We start from the raw sequence: 24,326 nt of genomic DNA on the forward strand, positions 1-24,326 counted from the left end.
GACAAACAGAATGAATACTAATTTATTACTCACTTAAAAAAATGAGATTAGAAAGGTCAAGTAATAGGTGAAAAAACACAATTACACCCTAAAGCATGCATTCTAAATAAGGTGATATACTCCAAATAGACAAAAACTGGATCTTGAGGGGTAAAAAATAAACTTAGTTATCACAATTGTTGGTGGTCCTTGAAAGCGTCAGATTATATATACACAGACATACACAGCAGATTTGTAGTATGAAAATTTCATGGGTCAGTTAATAGGGTTGAGGCATAAATTTTTTTGTAAAAAATAAAAAATAAAAATTTCATGGGGATGAGGAGATTAGAAAAAAAGTATTTAAAAACTGTCTTTTTTCCTTTACTATAAAGTATTTTTATACTATATATAAATTATTATCTTCCTCCAGCAGTTCACATAAATTACACATTTATGTAGAATGAAAAGTCAAAATATTATGCCATCTACTGGTGTAGCTTTTAACTGTTTGAATAGGCAATACTATACATCTGGTTTCCAGAGTCAGGTATGCATAAGGCAATCCACTAGATGTGCAGAAACAACTATTTATTTATAATTACCTTTTATCTCATCCTTTTAAATATCTACTTTGGTTTTATTTTATACTGTACATACTACATTAATAAAGTAATAGATATGTAGAATTTATAAATGACTATTTATATTGGTAACACACACTCAAAATTTTTTTACTGAGGCACACAGGTCTGAAAACCACTGTTAGATTATTACTATAAATCTTCCAAATTTCGTTATCATTGAATAAGTTTTTAAAAAATTAATACTCTGTCAAAGCTTCCTGAATAGTACTTCATGCCATACTAAGTATCTAGGTTAAAAGATGAGCCAACAAAATGTGTCTTATTCACTTGGAATCAGGGGACATCCAAGTTCCTTAAGAAAAGAAAAGAGAAGAGAAGATAAAAGAAAAAGAAAAATCTTCCCTAAAATAAGATAGCCAGAAAGAGTGAAAGAGTCTTTATTTTTCACTCACAAGTCATACATAACATTTTCCATTAAGAAATAAGAGATTTTAGGCTGGACGCAGTGGCTCGCGCCTGTAATCCCAGCACTTTGGGAGGTTGAGGTGGGCGGATCACAATGTCAGGAGATCCAGACCATCCTGGCCAACATGGTGAAACCATGTCTCTAATAAAAATACAAAAATTAGCTGGGTGTGGTGGCATATGCTTGTAATCCCAGCTACTCGGGAGGCTGAGGCAGGAGACTCACTTGAACCAGGGAGTCAGATGTTGCAGTGAGCCGAGGTCGTGCCACTGCACTCCAGCCTGGGTGACAGAGCGAGACTCCGTCTCAAAAAAAAAAAAAAAAAAAGAAAAAAAGAAAAAAGAATTAAGAGATTTTGGCCTGTACGGTGGCTCACACCTGTAATCATAGCACACTCCGGGAGGCCGAGGCAGGTGAATCGCTTGAGTCCAGGAGTTCGAGACTAGCCTGGGCAACATGACAAGACCCCTAGAAAAAAATACAAAAATTAACCAGGCATGGTGGTGCGTGCCTGCAGTCTCAGCTACATGAGGGTGCTGAGATGGGAGGATCGCTTAAGCAAAGGAGGTTGAGGTTGCAGTGAGCCGAGATTGCACCACTGCACTCCAGCCTGGGTGACAGGGCAAGATCCTGTCTCAGAAAAAAAAAAAAAAGAAAGAAAAAAAAAATTAAAAGATTTTAAGGATTTTTTTTTCCAATCACTGGTATCTAATTTCAAAACTTCATAAAGTATTAAATAGAAATGTGTATCAATAGGTGAAGGAATAAACAATGCATATACTGGAGCAAACTATCAATATATTGAACAACATGGATGAATCTCAAAATTATCTTCATTTTGAGTGAATGAAGCCAGACATACCCACTATGATTCAATTCATGCAGAATGTAAACTATAGTGAAAAAGAACAGATTAGTAGTTGTCTGGGGCCAGAGCAGAAAATGGAATGGACTGCAAAGTGGGGAGAGGAATCTTTGGGGATGATACAAACATTCTGTATCTTGATTATAATGGGAGCTTCATGGGTATGTGTAAATGTCAAAACTCATCAAATGACACACTTTAAAAGGATAAACTTTCTTATCCATATGTTATTATTCCTCAAAGTTGGTAAGGAAAAAAATTTTAAGTAGCAATTGCATTCTAATTCTTCACTGTAATTCTCTGATTATTTTAGTGTTTTATAATTAGCATTAAGCTTTAGCTTGTATTTATTTTTACTTCAGTCTTCAAGTCTCAAAAGTAGTCCACCATGAGATTGCTTGTCATTAGAAAAACTGGATACTACTCTGTACTCTTGAGTTATCAACGACTGAATAAGTTCTTTATGGTTCATAATTCACAATAAGCACAAAAAATTCTTTCTGTGCAAATTATCACACACATTATTTATATAAGTACTACTGTGTAAATCAACTTTTGAGGACACTATTACTTTTTAAAATTCTGAATGTCTCTAATCCCTCTAAATCCAACATCAAATGGTATATGAACAGCAAAAAGATCATTATATTCAATTAGAGGGATTTAATGTTTCCCTCTTCCTCTCTCAAAGCATTCTTTCAGCAAAGGAAACAATTACCATAAGCAGATAGAAAAATATCTCGATGGATTACTCTGTTCTATTGAATCTACCATAAGGGAAACGCAAAAAGGAAATTCAGATTAAAGCAATTACCCCTTCCTGAAATAATCATGGTGCACTAAGGAATTGCTAGAGAAGTAAGCAGACTGTGTAAGTTAAAACACTATAGTTATTCTTTTTTTTTTCTTCAAATATGGAGTTTCGCTCTTTGTTGCCCAGGCTGGAGTGCAGTGGCATGATCTCGGCTCACTGCAACCTCTGCCTCCTGGGTTCAAGCAATTCTCCTGTCTCAGCCTCCTGAGTAGCGGGCATTACAGGCACCCACCACCGTGCCCGGCTAATTTTTATATTTTTAGTAGAGATGAGGTTTCACCATGTTGGCCAGGATGGTCTCAAACTCCTGACCTCTGGCGACCTGCCTGCCTCGGCCTCCCAAAGTGCTGGGGTTACAGGCTTGAGCCACCACACCTGGCCTCACTATAATTATTCTATTTGCAGTTGAAGAAATATAAAAATTCTTAAAAACAGCCTCTGTTTAGAAGAATAAAAATAAAGAACCTAAGATAGTGTTCATCAAATGGACTCTGGGTAGTATTCCTGGGCAGCCTGCTTCTATGTGAGTTTATAATTTTGTTTTTAGAGAACAATGGCCAAATAACAACACGCTGTACGAATGAAGGCTAGTACTATTAATAGAAAAAATAGTGAAAAGATTGAGCTGTCCTACTATACACCACAGTACAGGTATGTTAAATTCTAACGAACCTTCATCCAGATGTGGTAATTACATGCCTGTAATCCCAGTACTTTGGGAGGCCAAGGCAGGTGGATCACTTGAGCTCAGGAGTTTGAGACCAGCATGGGTAACATGGCAAGACCCAGTGTCTCAGCCAAAAAATATAAAAAATTAGCCCAGTGTGGTGGCATGCACCTGTGGCACATGCCTGTAACATTATACTAAAACCAAGTAAACTCTAGCAGAACTTGAGATTTTTTTCCAGCTACTCAGGAGGCTGAGGCATGAGAATCGCTTGAGCCAGGGAGGTGTAGGTTGCAGTGAGCTGAGATCGTGCCACTGCGATCTGATGTTCTATATAAGGATCCCATCTTTGTATCCACCAACATCCATCAACTGTTCATGATTAGTAGGAAAAGTAATAATTGCAAAATAATTTCTTCTTTATGTAGTATTTTAAAGAATTTCTCAGCATACTATTTTGGGGTTTGGATCAGCGGTTTGAAAATTTCTGTGCAAAAAAAGGAATAATGACTACAAATTGTTTTCACTGTGATAATAAATACAAATCAAATGATGGTTCATTATACCTGAAATTTTAAAAAAAATCACACTGATATAGCTGTATAAGCACTACAGGTATAAGGAGTTAGCTGGGAGCAGTGACTCATGCCTATAATCCCAGCCAGCACCTTGGGAGGCCAAGGCCAGGTGGATCACTTGAGCCCAGGAGTTGGAGACCAGCCTAGGGAACACAGAGAAACCCCGTCTCTACAAAAAACTAAAATAAACAAAATTAGTCTGGGCATGGTGGCACACACCTGTAGTCCCTGCTACTCAGGAGGCTGAGATGAGGATCGCTTGAGTCTGGGAAGCAGAGGTTGCAGTGAGCTGTGATCACCCCACTGCACTCCACCCTAGGTGATGGAGCAAGACCCAGCCTCAAATTAAAAAAAAAAAAATATATATATATATATATATATATATATATATATACACACACACACACATATATATGTATATACATGTATATATATACACATATATATACATATATACGTATATATACGTGTATATATATACACATATATACATATATACGTACATATATACGTATATATATACATGTATATATATACACATATACGTATATATATGGAGTTTATATTTAGTTGTATGTTTGCATACACATAATTAACATTATACTAAAACTAAGCAAACTCTAGCAGAACTTGAGATTGTTTCCATTTAAAGGGTTTGCTTTTTGTAGCTGTGAGCCTGAGTGGTTAGCGTATTGCTGGTATTGCTGGAGGCAGGGTTGATCCCTCACCTGATACTTGTGTTCAAGACAATCTAAATTGTGTTAGGGAAGGGACTGACTGTACTCATGGCTAACCTGAAATATTAAAATAAGGCTGCCCCTAAAACCTTCTTAGTCACACAGGATCCCTGTAGCCAAAACAGTATATGTTCCAGCTGCAGAGAGCAGACTGCTCTCAGCTTGCACAGCACCTTAGGTGTGGGAAGAATATATGGATAGGGAATGGGGTGGAGAAAGAAGGACGGAAATGTTGTCACCCAGGTGGTTTTAGGGTCTAAGGAGTGGAAAAGGATGGCACTGGGGAGGTCTTCATGGATCTGTGTAGGAGTTCCCTGTAGATAAATTACTGATCCCCCATCTACTATCCCCAGTATGTAATGGCTGAATTAATACGTAATCAACTGCATTGTATCTAAAGCCTTAGAACTAGTCAGGTGCTCCTCCCACCTAATACCATTTCTTACCCCGTAATCCTACCTGATTTTTAACAAACCATTAATAATTCTAATGATAATCTCTATTTTGTTTTGTTTTTTTGTAACTGTTTTAAATAAATCAATTTGTACTGTAAAAAAGAAAAATAAACAGTCTGCTTTTCTTTTCTTTTTTTAAAAAAAGAGCCCATTAGAAGATTGAGAAACACTGTCCCCAAGGAATAAAGCCTTCAAAATACATTATGATATAACATATCAATGTTTTCCATGTAAAGAAAAAAAACAGGAGCTACAGAAAGGTATAGAAAGTTTAACAATAACTTGCAAGTATCAGTAGAAAACATTAAGAAAGCTGAGAAACTATATACAACAAATTAAGTCTCTGAAAGAAAATAAAACTCATTTTCATAGAAGTATAAAAAATTCTGTCACTGTTTATATTTATAAAAACATGAAAAGTTTTCATGGCTATAGTGCCCCCAAATATAAATATATATATATACACACACACTCTCACTCATATTTTAGATATTAGAAAAACAATCTACTAGTTACCCTTGCAGTCATAAATGAAATATAAATATATCAAAAATAAATTATTGCCAAAATATAAGATTAATAAATTATTAAACTGCTAGGAGCTATATTAAGGGCAATAAAAACCAGAATGCTTAACATATACTTTAATCATTGGGAAACTCAGCTTCCCTTTGGGCAAATATTGCTGAAGTCATAATTCTTTCCTGATTTACTTTTAAAGATATTTCAGAAACATGATAATTTTAAAACAAAAAAAAGAAAGAGAAGCTTGCACTGAAGGAAATTGGATGGGGAATCAAGAAACAGAGGTATTATTCCTGGTTCTCCAAATTATTCTGTGTGGCTCCAGGCAAGGCATTTGCAACTCTCAGTTCTTCTCATTTCCTAGTAGAATGTCTCTAAGGGGCCTTCCTTAGTGCCAGGAAGCAAGCATTTTGCATCTAAACAATGTTGCTACCTGAGTCTATTAAGACCAAAAAGTCTTTGAAAGAGGAGACACAGGGCCCATAAACAGGCAAGCATGGTAAAAACAACATACCTTCAAGTTTTGGGGTCGTGTAAATTTGTTGAGAAGTGCAGTCTGAATGAGCTCCCACCGGCTCCCCGCAGTTCGCTCACCATTCTTTTGGAAAAAAGAAAAACATATGAGGAAGCTATTCTAAGTTGTTTTGCATCACAGAATCAAAGGTCAAACAAGCAAGTACCAAACCATTTTTCAGAGACTAAAAGAATCTCGGTTTTGTTCTTACCTCATCTTCCACTGGGTACAAATTTTGTTCTGAACAAGGCATTTTAACATGCTTGTTATCCCACAAATCTTTATAATGTGTTGGAAAAGGTTTAGGAACTTCTCCTGCTCGCAAAAGATCTACCTGAAATTGAGGGTAAACAAAATTGTCAGTGCATAAAAACAAAATGTATCTTCTATAAAATAATCCTAAGTAACCAAAGCAAATGCTATAAAATAGAGACCAGCTCCCAGGCAAGAAATCACCAAAGAACCCTTCAGTTCTTCCCATTCCTCACCTCCATTCAACCAGGTCCAAGTCACCAGATATAGTATATATTCTAGCTCCATATCCCCTAGGAATCCTTCCTTGCCTCAGCTTTTACTAAGTGTTTCCTATCCTTCTCCCTAACTCCAGCTGTTGCTAGACACATCTAGCCCCCATAAAACCCTTTCTAAAGAACTCCCAGGCTTCTAATGCTATAACGCCTATACTCTGATTCTAAGTGTCATCCTGATTTTCATATACGTTCTTATCAAAACACCATTCATTCCAAACAAATCTTAAACAACACTTAAAATTCCTTAAACATAGCAAATTCATTTTCATATTTATATGCCTGTATACATACTACTGTGGCCTCTCTTTTTAATACCACTACTACCAATTGCCACCTCCCCCACTGTATCTGGTTAAATCTCTATTGTCACCTTCATAGCTCTGCCAGATTTTCATTATCTTTATGAAGTCTTTAGAAACTTCAAAGTAGTCAGCTATTTATCTTGTTTTGTTAGATTATTATCATGCTAGAGCACACTTGTCTTCCTCTCCCTCACTAGATCCCAAACTTCCTGAAAATAACCATATTAACTTTGTATTCTGAATATGTAAGATAGAACCTGGTATGTGTACATGTGTACGTGTACACATGCAAATATATATATACACACATATGCTACTATAATAACTATTAAGTAAATGTTTGAGGAAGTGGTACAGTAGGTAGCCAGTCAGACATGAGCAGGGCAGGACAGGGCCCCTACCACTACCAGGAATGTCAGACAACCCTCAAGTGATGCACAGGGAGTTGTGAAACTGCCTCTGTAAAATAATTGGAAGCAGCCGGCGCCAGGGAAAGGAGTCACCCAATAGATAGAAAAATCTGAAATTGGTGATCAGCAGCTTCCTGTTAAGATCTTAGGAGTTGGGCAAGTCAGCTCCAGCATGTGTACTAGGGAGCAAAATGGCAAAGTTTAACTGGTATATGACCTTATAAGAACACTCAACTGGTAAGGGAAGAATACCTCAAGCAAGCATATGTACAACTCCAGTAATCACACCGCGCATGCAGACAGCCCATCTCAAGGGAAGAATCAGGGGAGAAGGGGACACAACCCCCTGGAAGCATGCCAACATATAAAACCTCAAGTCAAAGGTCAAACTGTGTACTTGATCTCTCAAGTCGCCCGCTTGGCCCTCTTCCAAGTGTACTTTACTTCCTTTCATTCCTGCTCTAAAGCTTTTTAATGAACTTTCACTCCTGCTCTAAAACTTGCCTTGGTCTCTCATTCTGCCTTATGCCTCTCAATCAAATCCTTTCTTCTAAGGAGGAGTATTAACATTGCTGCAGACCCATATAGATTTGCCACTGGTAAGAGAAAGAGATTATGGTTTAAAGTTTAACATTATGCCTATTCTGGATATTTCATATAAAAGAAATCATATAATATGTGGCCTTTTGTGTCTGGCCTTTTTCACTTAGCATAATGTTTTCAAGATTAATCCATGTGGTAGTATGTATGAGTACTTCACTGCAGAGCATAATCACATAAATATATAATTTCACTTGTAATATGTTATGAATACGAGGAACACTGTGTTATGAGACCAGCTCAGATTTAGTTTATCTGGTAAACTTAGGTAAGGCTTCCTTGAGGAAGTGGCAACTGAGCTTAACTCTAAAGGCTAAAAAATTAACAAGGAAAAGGGTGAAACAAAAATAAAATTCTAAGCCCCGCAACCAACTGAATGGGCCCCTCCCTCAGCCAAGGGCATTCTAAAGCAAACCCCATACACTAGTTCAGGCCATGATGGGAACGGGTGGTTGGACATGCTTCATTATACCTTCCTCCCTTTGAAATTTAGATGTGACTGACCAGCATTAACATTAAAACAGGTACTTTAAGACTGACAAGGCAGACTCTTTATAGCAATTAAGATACCAACATGACAGATACCAAGCTCTGAAAGAAACGGAAGTATTTTACCCCAAAATGTATTTATTTGAAATATTTTGAAATGGCCCTGCTAAACTGTGTCTTGTGGGTAAAATCTACATTGTGTAGAGCAAGGGTCCCCAACCCCCCGGAATCCAGACAGGCATGGACTAGGGGTCTATGGCCTGTTAGGAACCAGGCTGCATAGCAGGAGGTGAGCAAGGCTGAGCTCTGCCTTCTGTCAGGTCAGTGGCAACATCAGATTCTCATAAGACGAAGAACCCTATTATGAACTGTGCATGGGAGGGATCTAAGTTGCACACTCCTTATGAGAATCTAACAAATGCCTGATGATCTGAGGTGGAACAGTTTCATTCTGAAACCATCCCCCAACCCATGGAAAAATGGTCTTCCATAAAACTGGTCCCCGGTGCCAAAAAGTTGGGGACTGCTGCTGTAGAGAATCCCCTTCCCTTTCCAGGTCTTCCCTGATCCAGTCCAGGAGAGAAGTAATGAAGCATCTGGTAAGAGCTCTGAAGCCTGTTACCTACAAGCATCAACTGCATGATAAAACCTTGGTCTTTAGAAACCCTTCTTAACCCAGACATCCCTTTCTATTGATTCCAGGTCTTTAGATAATAACCCTTTTAACCAATTGCCAAGCAGAGAATCTATGACCTGGAAGCCCCTTTCGAGTTGTCCTGCCTGCTGGACCAAATCAATATGCATCTTACATGTATTGATTGACGTCTTATACCTCTCTAATACATATAAAACCAACCTATAGCCTGACCACCTTGGGCACATGTACTCAGATCTCCTGGGGCGGTGTCACAGGCCATTGGTCACTCATATTTGGCTCAGAATAAATTTCTTTAAATATTTTACAGAGTTTGACTCTATTCACCAACATTCCTTAAAAAGGGAAGAACTATGGAAAGAAGACTGTCAAACAGGCAGCTTCGTAAAAACATCTACTGAGACAGAGCAGGGAGCCCTCTTAGGGGCCTGCCAGGAGTGCCCTCAAGCAAGGAAATAAAAGAAAATCTCGAATCCCTTTGTTAGGAATAATGCTCAAAATCCTAAGGAAATTGAACACTTGAACAAAGGATTCTTAGCAAAGCAATTTTACTTCTGCACAGAGGAGTGCCTCCTTGGCCAGTCGCCATGAGAGCACACCTGAACAAAGGGGCACAAGAGCCTTTATTCCTGATGCAAGTCCTGCCCCTGTACCCTTTCCCCATTGGCTGGGGTCGGGTCGTACAATCTAAACTAATTCCGGTTAGCTAAACATTTGATTTTTTTAGATAAGGTGGGCATGTGAAAGAAAGCGGAGAGGAAAGGGGAAGGCATGTCTGTAATAAGCTAGAAAGTTAGTTCTCTTTCCAAATAAGGAAAGGAATGTGAGCTGGTATTGATAATGCTTGGTACTGTGACGTGCCTGGGCATCTAACAAAGGCAAAATGGAAGAAAGGAGAAAAAGGAAAAAAGGAAGGGGGGCACTATGAATTAAAGAATAAAAGACTGATCAGGTTATTTGAAGAGAAACCTCATCATATCTGAAAGCTTCAAGGGAAATTCCAGGCACCTATCTAGCCTTGAGAAGTAAATGAGCCACCAGATAAGCAAGGAGGTAATAACAGCTTAAACCAATAGCCACTCATGGAAGTCAGAGCCACAAGATGTGTTGCTCCCTATAGAAAATAAAGATAACATCTTGACATAGGTCCCTGAGTTATTTTTCAGAAACTCAGACCCCCGCCAAATGGAAAGTGCCAACCACCATCATCACATAAGGGGGAACTGAAGACTGAACTCTGACTGACGTTCTTCATTCTAAATTTCTTCCTGAGGGGCCTGGAGACAGTGACACCCACATGCCAAACCTTAACATTCCTTTCTGCTGATCCCAAGTTTCTAGGCAAAGCCTTGCTTCCTTAACCAATCGCAAATCAAAGAATCTCCGAATCCTGCAACCCCACTTCAAGATATCCTGCCTTTTGGGACCAAACCAATATATAACCCCCACGTATTGATGTATGATTTTGCCAATAACTTCTGCTTTCCTAGAATATATCTCTGCCTTTAAAAAATCTTGCTTGTAAGCCATTGGGGAGGTCAGGTTTTAAGCAATAGCTATCTTATTCTACTTGCTTGGTGCCCTGCAAACAAACACCCCTACTTCTCTTGCTACAGACGTCAGTGTCGGTGTTTGGCTTTACTGCACTGGGTGAGTGTACTCAGGTTCAGTTTAGTAACACCGCAACTTAAGAAAAATAAACCTGGGCCGGGGGTGGTGGCTCACGCCTGTAATCCCAGCACTTTGGGAGGTTGAGGAGGGTGGATCACAAGGTTAAGAGATCAAGACCATCCTGGCCAACATGGTGAAACCTCATCTCTACTAAAAATACAAAAATTAGTTAGGCATTGTGCCGCGCGTCGGTAGTCCCAGCTACTTAGGAGGCTGAGGCAGGCGAATCGCTTGAACCTGGGAGGCAGAGGTTGCAGTGAGCTGAGATTGCGCCACTGCACTCCAGCCTGGCGACAGAGCAAGACTCTGTCAAGAAAGAAAGAAAGAAAGAAAGAAGGAAAGAAGGAAGGAAGGAAGGAAAGAAAGAAGGAAAGAAGGAAAGAAAGAAAGAAAGAAAGAAAGAAAGAAAGAAAGAAAGAAAGAAAGAAAAATAAACCTGTGAGTCATCTATATAGGTGATCACTAAAACCACAAGGGTGGGTGAGACCAACCAGAGAGAGACAGAAGAAAAAAGGACCTATGAAAAAGGCTTGAGGAACTCCAACAACACTTACTTGTCACATACAGAAGAACAGCCTAAAAGGAAAATAAGAATTGGCTAAGGAGGAAGAAAGAAATTTAGGATTATATTGTGTCACGGAGCCAAAGGATGAGTATATTCCAAGGAGAAAAGAAATGTCTATGGAGTCAAATGTGGCCAGGCACAGTTGCTCACGCCTGCAATCTCAACACTTTGGGAGGTTGAGGCTGGAGGATCACTTGAGGCCTGGAGTTCAAAATCAGCCTGGGCCAACATAGCTACAAATTTAGAAAATTAGCCACATGTAGTGGCACATGCCTGTAACCCCAGCTACTCAGGAGGCTGAGGTGGGAGGATTGCTTGAACCTAAGAGTTGGAGGCTGCAGTGAGCCAAGATCACACACCACTGCTACTGCAATCCAGCCTGGGTGACGGAGTGAGATCCTGTCTCTTTAAAAAAAAAAAAAAAAAGAAGAAGGCCAGGAACAGTGGCTCCCACCTGTAATCCCAGCACATTGGGGGGCCCAGGCGGGTGATCACCTGAGGTCAGGAGTTTAAGAGTAGCCTAGCCAACATGGCGAAACCCCGTCTCTATTAAAAATACAAACATCAGCCAAGGTTGGTGGTATGCACCTGTAGTCCCAGCTACTTGGGAGGGTGAGGTAGGAGGATCGCTTGAACCCGGGAGGCAGAGGTTGCAGTGAGCCGAGATCACACCACTGCACTCCAGTCTGGGTGACAGAGCAAGACTCCATCTCGAAAAAAAAAAAAAGTCAGATGTGACAGAATCAGCAGTTATGCTGAAAGTATTTTCACCCTCATAAGAACGTCCCAAAGGTGATTTTATAAGGATGTTCCATATCATCTGATAAAACAGCATAGGTACCAGTTGAGCTTCACAAAAGGGGAACATACATGTAATATGCTTTGTGTGTGGCTCTGTGTTTGCATGCACGCACGTATGCATGTGTTTGTTGGAAATCGACCACTAAGTGCAATTTCAGATTGCCTTACATTTCTAAAGCTAAATGTTGGTTTTATTTTTAAGAAACAGGGTCTTACTCTGTCATCCAGGCTAAACTGCAGGGCTCAAGTAATCCTTCTGCCTTAGCCTCATAAGTAGCTAGGACTACAGGCATGTGCCACCATGCCTGGCTAATTTTTTAACTTTTTGTACAGATGGGCTCTGCCTATGTTGCCCAGGCTAGTCTTGAACTCCTGTCCTCAAGTAATCCTCCTGCCTTGGCGTCCTAAAGTGCTGGGATTACAGGTGTGAGCTATCATGCCCAACTTTCATTTTACTATTTCAAAATCTGTAACTATTAACATCTGGAATCTTAATAATGTAACTAAACACTGCTATTAAGTAACTGTTAATTACATTTATATCTTATTATCATATTCAGGAATAAGAATCTAGAAGAAAATACAACAAACTGTTAAACTCTGGGAATAAGACTGACAGACGGGTTTTCTGAGTTACATGCTTTCATATAATAGTTGTGTATTTTTTACAATAGTCTTGCATTGCTGTTGTAATAAAATAGAAGATTTTAAAAACTCAAGGGTCCTGGGTATCTAAGAAAGAAACATTAACTATAGAGATTATTTGATGGTAGAGATGGTAGATATTAGAGAGATATAATGACGGTACAGGATGGTTTGGGTTTTCTTTGTGGGAGGGTGGGAGAGAGGAGGAAGAGAAAAAGCTAAAATATCACTTAACACCCTCTGTCCATCTTTTCTCCAGTTCCTCACCATTAACATCATCTCAGTAATCCAGACTAAGAACCTTAATTTTACATGCATTATCAACAACTCCTTTTTATTTGTCACCCATATTTAGGAATTCACCATATTCTATCAATTTTACCTCATAATAATGCAACCTTCTATTTTCTTTTTTATCCCCATGATTATTATCTCAGTGATTTTCAAGCTTTTTAAAATAGCAGAATCCCTTTTTTCCCTAAGAAATTTGACATAAAGTCATTTAAAGTCACACCAAAGCTATTTTTAGAAATACAGTTTTTGGCTGGGCGCGGTGGCTCACGCCTGTAATCCCAGCACTTTGGAAGGACGAGGTGGGCAGATCACCTGAGGTCGGGAGTTTGAGATCAGCCTGACCAACATGGAGAAACCCCGTCTCTACTAAAATACAAAATTAGCCAGGCGTGGTGGTGCATGCCTGTAATCCCAGCTACTTGGGAGGCTGAGGCAGGAGAATTGCTTGAACCCGGGAGGTGGAAGTTGCCATGAGCCGAGATCGTGCTGTTGCACTCCAGCCTGGGCAGCAAGAGCAAAAAACTCCATCAAAAAAAAAAAAAAAAAAGAAATACAGTTTTTATAGTAACTTTTACTTACTCTAATATCAATAAGTGATGATGAGACAGTTTTAAATACAAAATTTGAAAGTAGGAGTTAGGGATGAGAGTTAAAGCTTACATCAATCTACCATTTAGTTTACATTTATCTCTCTTACACATTATTAAGAAAATCCTGATTCATCCATCTATACAGTTGCAAATGGTAACATTTTACAAACTTTATTTTGATATTAAGCTAACTCTTCAGATGAATGGTAGCAAGGGAACCTTGGCTCTGTGGTCTGCACAAAAATGGGTTATCTTGGCAAAAACAGCTGGTTCAAATGTGGAATTAAGCATCTTCAAATTTGATTGTGCAGTTCTTTTTTAACAAGTTTTTCACTGTTAAAAATATAATTTAGAAATGAAATTTGCATCAAACTTCAAAAGAACCCCTGAAGCACCTCTATGTGGCACAATTCGGTACATACTGTTACCTTACTTAACTCTTATCTGGGCTCTTACATTACCTCTCCTGTCTCCCAGTGTATCCTCACTTCTGTTTTCCTTACATGCAGCTGTCTGATTAATCTTGCTACAGCACAGATACTGTCTGCACAGACATGACTTAAGTCTGGTTCCTGGCACTTGAAGCCCCCTGTGATATGAACCCAATCCAATTTTCAAGTCTCTTCCTCATTCCCCACCCAAATTCCACACTCCAGCAAAGGCACTGTTTTCCATTTCTAAAACAGATAGTTTTCAACCACACAGCCTTTTCTTATAAATCTTATATATCTGTCTGGAAGTCTCCTATCTTACTAACTGCACCTCAGAAATTTATGCTTATCTTTTAGAGCTCAGCTCAAACCCCATAACTCTGCTCAATGTTACTCTCACCTCTAAATATGCTAAAGAATTCTGAATTTCAAAATAGTTAATCACATCTACACTAAATTGTATGTTAAAAGGGATCATGTCAATTTTTTTTAGTACTGCGTGTGAAATCTATATAAAACCTGACTAATAAATGAGATGAATGTTTAAAACTACCCAGCAAGTGATGGAAATCTAAAACTGGATTATGGTGATGGTCACATAGCTCAAAAAATGGACTCAATATCACCAAATCGAGCACTTAAAATGGGTGAATTTTTATATACCTCAATGAAGTTGTTTTTTAAAAGCAAGAACACACAAAAAGTACAAAAGAGGTTACTAAGAACTAGGGGAAGCAGGGAAGGAGGTTTAATTATTTAATATGTTTAATATGTACAGTTTCTGTTAGTATAGTGTTATGATATTCACATTGGTTTTTGTCCAGGTTCTTGGCTTGTAACTCCCATAGCCCTCGTTATAGTCTTTTGTTATAATGTTATAATGTTAGTCTTTTGTTATGTTTTGTTACAATGTTGTTATAATGTTATAATATAATGTTAAAACAAACATGGTAACAGCCCTTTCCCAAAAGAAACCCCCTTCTTGCCTGGGGACTAGACTGCCACCGTAGGACTAACAAAATAGCCACAAGATTAGAAATTATGGTTTAGGAGTCATGCAGCTGGAGGCTACAAGATTCTGACCCGCCCTAAACTGCTAAGATCAGTGCTTGGGATATTTTGCAGACCCTGCACTTGATGGATCAGCTGGCACCACCCAGATGGATAAACTGGCTCATCTGATCTTGTCCCCACCCAGGAACTGACTCAGCACAAGAGGACAGCTTCAGCTTCCCATTATTTCTTCTTCTGACCCAACCAATCAGCACTCTCGACTCACTGGCCTTCCCCAACCCACCAAATTATCCTTAAAAACTCTGATCCCCGAATGCTCGAGGAGACTGATTTGAGTAATAAGAAAACTCTGGTCTCCAGCAAAAAAAAAAAAAAAAAAAAAGGCACAGCTGGATAATGATTTAAGGACACTAAACCATACGTAATTTTGAAATTTAGGGACGAATGCAGGATTCTGCAGTCAGTACACAATACTATCAACTGAGTAAAAAGAAAAAAAAAGAATCCAATGAGGTTTCTTAAAAATACTGGAAAAAAAAAATTATCTTCACCATCAGCTGATAATGATTGCTAATGATTGCTAATTTGTTAAGTTCTATACTAAGTAAGTTATCATTATATTGCTCCATTCTGTAGAATTCTCAGTATTTTATATATGCAGAAAACAGAAGAACTTTCTAAGCCTTGGTCTGTTTCTCACTTAATAAATATCACAATAAATAAGGACTTCCAGTCTTCTCTCATCATAGATAAGAGGTGCTACCTACCCGAATAGTTACTGTGTGATTGGCAGATGGTCTCAAGAGAGGCAGCCGGATCCCACACCGAGGCATTCTTCTCATCTCCTCAATGGGAGTTCCAAGCCACTTCTTATCTGGAGAAAGGTGAGGTGGAACGTATTTAGGGATCTTCCTTTCTGTTCTTTGATGTTTGGTTTCCCACTGTTCTTTTCTAAGGTCAAGACAAATGTATTTAGTCACAAATTATTTACTGTTTTAATTCCCTTAGATACACAAGCACAAAACTTACCCAGACGTTATTGTTTAAAGTATGCCATACTTGGTCACTCACTTCGTTATGTATTATATTTACAATCAAAAGAAAAACCTATAAAGCTTATAAAACTCAAGAGCTTATTTTCAACAGTCTGTGGAAGAAAGTTCCAAACACATGTAAATCACCTTCTCAAAACAGAAATGAGTCATGGTTCACAGTATCATCTACACAGTAATTTTCAATGAAGTGAACTCACTATTGCATGCTGATTGCACTATCTCAGGAAACTCAAATCACAGAAATCATGGATGGGATTTAAGATTCCATATGGGGTAACGGCAAAATATAAGCTTTGTAATATGACACACCTGGATTTAAATCCCAGCATTACCACTCAGAAGGTACATGATTCCAGTGAATTCTCTTACCCAAATCTCAGTTATCTCATTTAGTGAGTATAATACCATCTGTCTGCCTGTCACGGCATTAAACAAAGTGTAAAAAAAAAAAAAAAAGTGTAATATACAATGGTCTAGAAGAATGTCTGGCTGAAGAAACAGTAGCTACTATCAACCTAGTATTTTCATGTTCTAGCAATTCCCATAAATACCAAAAGGAAACTCATGAAACTAAAAATCTGATTTCTAATATTTATTTTATTTCTTGTTTTCTGTTTCTAGCCTTTTTAGAGTTTAAACTTTGGAGTCTAGGTTTAAATTTAGCATAAGTAGTTAACAAGAAACAAAACCATTTCTTTGCTTTACTAGAAATCACAGCTTCGTTAAACTCCCTTACAAAACTATAAAGCATATTATGCTATTGGAGAGATACTGCTGAGAGAAAATTACCTTCTGTCCTCTGCTTTGGGCAGTCTCATGAAATGATCTGTGATTTTAGAATCCTTTTTTCCATGTTGCTTAGAATTTCTGCATTCTACATTCAGGCTAGAAATATTTCCAGGTAGTTTAGCATTTAAATCATTCATTCCAGTGCGACTCTCTCCTCCTTCAAATTGGAAATGTAATCTAACTTCACCGCCCTTAGTAGAGTACCGTTTCCTAAATTCAATGTCAGCGTCTCTTGCTTGGAACCTTGAAGGTTTATTTGCTGTTTGGGAGGAACTACCATCTTCTTGTTCATCAAAACCTGGACTTGTCTCCTCATCTGCTTCTGAGTCTTGACAACTATTTTTAGAATTATCCACATCCATCGGTGACTCGGGTTCACTTTCCTTCTCAAATGGAGGAGAATTTCCTAGGCAACTTTCTTGTCTAGTCAATTTGTTGTCATTTTTTGGCCCAGTACCAACATCCTCAGAGCCAACATCTGACAATGGACTCTCTGGCACCACATCTATCTCATCTTGCTGACAACTTGCACAGTCTTCCCCAGGATCGCAAGACTTGCTGCACTTCTGGTGGCTTTTGGCTTCTCTGGCCTGTTCATCTTCTGTAGTCTGCTTTGCATTTGCAAGCTTTACAGTTGTGAGAAACTGTTGATTGTCTCTATTCTCTTCACTATCTGTGTCACTGTGATCATCATTTTGAGGTGACCGATCAATGTTAGCATTACTAAACTGCTCTGGTACCAGGGTTACTGTTTGAGGTTCACTTTCCAAAAGCTGCTCCGTGTGTTTCCCTTCATTTTGCCACTTACACATTGCTGCAGTCTGATGCTGGTTCAAATACTGTGTACTTTTTTCAGTGGGTGACTTATCAAGACTTAGCTGAGAAACATTTTCTAATTTTTCTACATTATGTTGGTAAAAGTTATCTTTTTGTACAGAACTCATCATGGATTCTATTCTTGTATTGTTGTTTTCTTTACTATCCAAACTACAAGAGAACAGAAAGAACTAAAAACAACTTATAATACAAAAAAGTCACTTATCCAATCATACCCCCAGTGTCACAGCAGTAATTAAACTCCCTGTGGTCAGCTGAGCACACAGCATGTCTTCTATGACTCCATGTCTTTGTATGTGATCCCTAATGCCCTCCCTGCAGCTGTGTGTCTGGCAAACACCCGCCTTTCCTTCAAGTCATAAATGTCACTCACCTCTCTGTGCAGTCTTCCTTTAGGGACCAAAGGTAAAGTTGAACATTTGTTTCTTCTACACACTAACCACCACTGTGCCTTGCTCATACCTTTACTATTGCATCTATCACACCAGGCAGTAATTATGTGTTTTTGTGTCTGTGGCCACTGCTACACTGTAAGTATCTTAAAGACACAGACTGGCCGGGCGCAGTGGCTCACACCTGTAATCCCAGCACTTTGGGAGGTCGAGGCAGGCAGATCACGAGGTCAGGAGATCAAGACCATCCTGGCTAACCCGGTGAAACCCCATCTCTACTAAAAATACAAAAAATTAGCCAGGCGTGGTGGTGGGCGCCTGTAGTCCCAGCTACTTGGGAGGCTGAGGCAGGAGAATGGCGTGAACCCAGGAGGCAGAGCTTGCAGTTAGCCGAGATCACGCCACTACACTCCAGCCTGGGCAACAGAGTGAGACTCCATCTCAAAAAAAAAAAAAGACACAGACTATTCCTCTCTCATCTTGGTATCTCAAGTATACAGGACAGTCCCTGGCATACAGGACTCTCTAAAAAATTACTTATAAGTTGATTTTGAATTAACATAGATAAAGGAGAACAGAAAAGCATGAACAAAGAGAGAAAATATTAAAGCAACAAGATAAAACATCCATGTATTATTATTCATTTCTCTACATAGGAATGTTTCTATACCTTTCTGATTCCGCTGTCTTGATTCCTTTAGTGTCCATCCAACTGGTAATAGTCTTTTGTTTGAAAACTATAAAAAAAAATGTATATTCATACATTCCTTCAAATATAAAACATATACAGCATATTGTACATGCAAGGAACTATGCTAGGTTCTACAGGTTAAACAAAAGATTAATAACTCAAGTATTTGCCCTCAAGTATATGGGTAAGACAGGAACATAAATGTTAATACATATGACACAGGGTAGAAAATGACTGGTGCCTAAAAGAGTTGGTATGGCCTAATGGATAAGAGCATAGGCTATGGAATCAGAACATCTGTATTCAAATCCTGATTCTCCCATTAGCTTCCTATGTTACTCTGTGAGGGGTCATTTCTCTGTATCTCAGATCCCTCATTTGTAAACATGCAAAATAACTATCTCATGAGATAAGGCTTAATTAAGTAAAAATAGTTCATGTAAAGCATTTAGGGCATTATCTGGTTTACGCTTAGTAAATGTTGATTCTTAATTATCATGATTATTAAAAGAGGTCCTGATAAAGGAATTAAGGTTATTTCTGAGGAAGACACTACTTCAGTGAACAGGAGAACATGGGCATAATCGGTAAGATTTCTTCGGAAAAGGTAAGGCTTGACTTATGCCTTGAAAAGTAAACATGCAGTCACATAAAGAGAAAATTATAAGCAAAGGCACCAATATCAGGGAAATATAAAGAACTTAAAAAGAAAGCAAAAGAAAATATGGTTGAAAAGTCAGCCAGGATCATACCATACAATAGGATCTTGAATGACCCACAAAGAGAAGCACAAAAAATGTGTTGAAAGACATGATTCCTCTCATCTAGGAGGCTCACAGTCATGCATGACAGCCTGGAGGATAAATCTGAGGGGCAAGAGGGAAGAGCTTATTGCCAGAAACTAGGGAGGAAGCTACTAGTCCAGGTCAGTGGTTCCCAAACTATCTGGATCATCAGGAAGCCAGCCACACCCCAGTCCTTCTGAATCAGAATCTATATGTGAGTAGGATGAAGGCATGAGGGGAGCTGGAATCTATTTTTTTTTTTCCAAAAGTGATTCTGATGATCCACTAGATTGAACAGTTACTGGCCAAGAACATAAACTAGTCCTTGTGAGAGTAGTAAAAGTGAGGAGAGTCATTACAGACTTCACAATAATAGGGGAAGTTAAAAGTGACTTTAAGCTTTGAGCTTGAGAGACTTGAAAAATGATGACAGCCTTAAGTAGAAATATGGAATACAAGAGAATTGTGTTTAGGGAAGAAATACGATTAGGTCGATTCTGCCTATACTAAATTTGAGATGCCAAAGAAGTAACTAGATAGAAAACCATATCACTACTTCTGGCTTCCTAAGGTTTCCTTCCTAACACATCAGCAGACAGTAGCAAAAGTAGAATTGATAGCTCAGGAGAGGGAGATGCAATATAAATAAATACAAGCCACATTTTATATAATCATTAGAAATAAGTGTGCTGTCAAAATTTAATATACTGAATAGGGATTAAATGTACATCATATTTTAGTATCAGAAATAAAATCTTAAACATTCGCAAATGTTTAAGATTTGAGATACTCACTAAATTGCAATGTAAGAATCTTAGCATCCTAAGTCACAGGATCTTTCTTATTTACCTACCTCTCCTAAAACACCATATGGAGCAAAACAGATGCAGGCTCAAATATACAAAAATCAATGGTTTATTTTTCATTGAAATAATGGCATAATCGAAATACATTTCAGATGGGGAGAATTTTATACCAGAAAAATATTCAATTGCTATATAATCTTTACCTTCCACAAAATACTTATAATCCAGCTAGTAAAAATCTTTGATTAATGTTTCAAAAATAGTTTAATAGTTTCTATCACAAAAAAGTAATCACGCATAGTGATTTCTTATTGTTAAACACCATTACTTCCACGATTTTATTTAGCTTTCTGCAGCAGATCAGGCTTCAGAGAAAAAATGAGCTTCAGTCAGAGGGAGTAAGAGGATAAACCATTTGATTCTGAAACTTTTTCTATAGTTCTGTATTCTCTATTTATTTTCTTTATATCAAATACAGCAAGTATAGTTTAGAAAATCCTCAAATTGGGCCGGGCGCAGTGGCTTATGCCTGTAATCCCAACACTTTGGGAGGACGAGGCAGGCGGATCACAAGGTCAGGAGATTGAGACCATCCTGGCTAACATGGTGAAACCCCGTCTCTACTAAAGATACAAAAAATTAGCCAGACGTGGTGGCGGGCGCCTGTAGTCCCAGCTACTCGGGAGGCTGAGGCAGGAGAATGGCGTGAACCCGGGAGGTGGAGCTTGCAGTGAGCGGAGATCGCGCCACTGCACTCCAGCCTGGGCGACAGTGTGAGACTCTGTCTCAAAAAAAAAAAAAAATCCTCAAATTACAAACCAGTAATATGCCAAAACATTCATTTTTTGAGTTGGTTTAGAAGTTAAAACATCTTTTTTCCATAAATGTAAGGATTAATGTTAAGATGCAATGACTAGGTTCCTATAACACACACGAAGCACGTACTCCTGTGATAAGTCTACAGAACCTAAAGACTGCACACATCATTTCATGAAAAACCAGGAGTGTTCCAGTGATGGCAAAGAAGAAGAGAGCTCTCTCCTGTAGCCCTGACCCTGAGAATGTGTTCTCTCTCTAGTTTCAGGCTTCCTGAAGCCTGGGGAAGGGATGAAGGAGGAAAAGCAAGAGATAAGGAACCAGTATCTTCTGCTAATAAAACATTGATCAGTCCTTCTTAGGGCCTCAGAGAAAGGACTGCTTACTGCTCTTTGCAATATCACTGTTTCTGGCTTCCTAAGGTTTCCTTCCCAGCACACCACAGGACTGTGTCAGAGCTTTATCCCTCTTACTCCTGAAGTAAGCATAAAATTATGCTTTCCAGGTTTCCTAGGAATTTTAACTAGAAATAGTCACAGCAAGGCAAAAAGAGTGGCAATAAGAAGTGATGAAAAGATACAAGATCTAGAGTCAGATAGTCTTGGATTGAGATCTTTGTTCAGTCACTTACTAGTACCACCTTGGTCCAGTTGCTTCACTTCGTTAAGCCTTTATTTCCTCACCCAGAAAATGAAGCTAACAACACCTACTTCTAAGGGTTATGTGGATCAATTACAAAGCAAAAATTAGAGAAAATATTGTGTTCAGCCTCACAAAGCACTCAATATGTTATCTCCCGACATTTCCACCCAGTCTTTTTTTTTTCCACTGAGATCAGTAATTCTCCAACTTTGACTTCACACCATTTACATTTACTCTCATCAGCAACATTATTCAGTACCCAGTATATTTTAATCAGCAAGTCATTCAATTAATAGCTATAGATACAGCCAAAAGGCACAAAACGCAATAAAATTCACCTGCATGTCAAAGGAACATTCCACTTTCACAAAAAGTCTATAGCAACACATCTGGATAAACCTGCGTCATCACAATGTGAATAACATGCTGAGTTCTGCCAATATGCAGGTTTGCAGATTTTTTTTTTCTTTTTTCAGAAGTGGGGTCTCGCTATGTTGCTCAGGCTGGACGGGAACTCCCGGGCTCAAGTGATCCTCTTGCCTTAGCCTCCCAAGTAGCTGGGACTACAGGTGCATGCCCAGCAAAATTAGCGATTTCAGTCAATACAAGAAATATATCCAGGAAGATAAAGAATATAAAATTTAAAGATACTGAATAAATATCCATTTCGCTACCCCGCCTACTTGTCCTAAGATAATTATATATAAAAATTTAAATACCAAGTTCCTAAAGGAATCCCAAAAATTCAAACAATGGGCTTTTGATACAAATATAGTCTTCGAACATTCTGTTAATTGGTGTCCTGTGCCAGGTATACAGAAAACATTTAAACATGCGAAATACAGCCCCAAGTATTCATTTGGTACCTCTTCTGCAGAAATCTTAATTAAGATCCAACCAGTGAGGACTGACTGCCCTCACCCCTATTTGCAACTAACTCCTCCTCCTTTACATGCAAATAAGGTTAATGAAACCACAAATTATCCAGTCACAGAAGCTGAAGTACACCTGAACGTATACCTGAAGTTCACCTTCAGTTCTCTCTCCCCTATACCAAGTTCTCTGAAATCTACATCCTAAATTTTAAATCCATCCCTTCCTCATACCCTTTAAACACATCGCTTACTAGACAACTGCCATTTGTTTCTTGCAACTAGTCTCCCTGTCTACAGCCTTGACTATCCAGTGTTCTACAAACTACAAATGACCAGTCATTTTTCAATGAAATAACACAGACAATATAAGAATGCATCACACATAGTAAGGTTAAGTATTATTTCATGAAACATTTATTTCAGTTATAAATATGGCTTATTTGCCAGGTTACATATATTTCTTACTCTGTGTACTGGATAAAATTTATGCTGTGGGTTGCAGTTAGAAAAGTCCAAAAGCCACTTTTCTAAAATATTAACCAAATGGTATTCCCACGCTTAAAAGCTTTTTAGTGGTTTCTCCATTAACCACAGAATAAGGTTGAAATTCCTTAAAATGGAATTTGAGTTTCTTCATAAGCTCCTGTCTGCCACCCAGCCTCATCAGACACTCCTCTGTCATCTTATGCTCCAGTCTTACCAACTTTTGCATGTCTTATTTCCTCTGCATGTATAATTCTTTCTCCTCTTGATTTATACAGCAAATCTTCCTCATCCTTCAAGGCCTAGTGCAAGTCTACTTGGTACTGCCCCTAAGTATGAAGACATCTAAGTGTAGACTCTTCACCAGAGAACTGCCCGAGCTCTGCCCAGCCTCTTACACTGTTAACGAATGCATCCTTTTTGAAATGATCTCCTTTGTCTGACACAACACAAGCCAGGCTTTCCTCCCACCTCTACAGCCGCTTCTCTTCAGTCTACTCTTAAACTTTGGTGTTCCTAAGGCATCTGCCCTAGGTCACCTTTACTTTCTCTACATGTTTATGTTATCTATGCCCATAGCATCCATTATAATGTTTATGCCACGAACTCCCCAATCTACTTCTCCAGCACAGAAATATTTCTTCTCAAGTATCCCATTCTTTCATGAATCCATCCCCTTCCCTATTGCCAGCATCCAGGCCTAAGCTACAATTATTTCCAACCTAGATTAACTCCTTAACTGAGTCTTGATGCTCCACTTGAGTTCCTTTTCAATCCATTCTTTATTTTCCACACACCAGCCACACAGACTTTTCAACAAATAAATAAGTCTAATCAAGTCACTCCCCTACTAAAAACCCTTGAGTAGCTTATCAATGCCCTTAGAGTTCAAAATCCTTAGCAATGTCTACATATCCAATTTGATCTGACTTTTCTGTACCACCCTGCAGCCTCATCTCTCACACTCTCTT

At 38.7% G+C, this 24,326-nt stretch overlaps 1 protein-coding gene across 15 annotated transcripts in view, besides 1 other annotated feature; it reads right to left on the bottom strand.

Annotated features, from left to right (window-relative positions):
* Positions 1–24,326, bottom strand: part of PARG (poly(ADP-ribose) glycohydrolase) — a 123,749-nt gene that overhangs the window by 97,870 nt on the left and 1,553 nt on the right. For 8 of the 15 annotated variants that reach the window (NR_130168.3, NR_136756.3, NR_136755.3 and 5 more), the window contains exons 2-6: positions 18,928–18,994; positions 17,029–18,015; positions 15,952–16,135; positions 6,399–6,521; positions 6,188–6,271 (exon numbers count right to left, since the gene is read on the bottom strand). Coding sequence is in view for 7 of the 15 variants with exons in the window: in NM_003631.5 (NP_003622.2) it covers positions 6,188–6,271; positions 6,399–6,521; positions 15,952–16,135; positions 17,029–18,015; positions 18,928–18,994 (1,445 nt within the window). In the remaining 8 variants the exon portion in view is untranslated. The remainder of the gene's footprint in view (positions 1–6,187; positions 6,272–6,398; positions 6,522–15,951; positions 16,136–17,028; positions 18,016–18,927; positions 18,995–24,326) is intronic. The other 7 variants (NR_136752.3, NR_136754.3, NM_001303487.3 and 4 more) reach the window with 5 other exon arrangements.
* Positions 9,735–10,235: an enhancer, noted in NCBI's record as "H3K27ac hESC enhancer chr10:51133929-51134429 (GRCh37/hg19 assembly coordinates)". NCBI's record gives its function as "activates a minimal SCP1, AML or CMV promoter by ChIP-STARR-seq in primed H9 embryonic stem cells {active_cell/tissue: H9 hESC(primed)}" and the evidence as "EXISTENCE:reporter gene assay evidence [ECO:0000049][PMID:30033119]".

Source organism: Homo sapiens, chromosome 10 (assembly GCF_000001405.40).
Source record: "Homo sapiens chromosome 10, GRCh38.p14 Primary Assembly".
Lineage (NCBI taxonomy): Eukaryota > Metazoa > Chordata > Mammalia > Primates > Hominidae > Homo > Homo sapiens.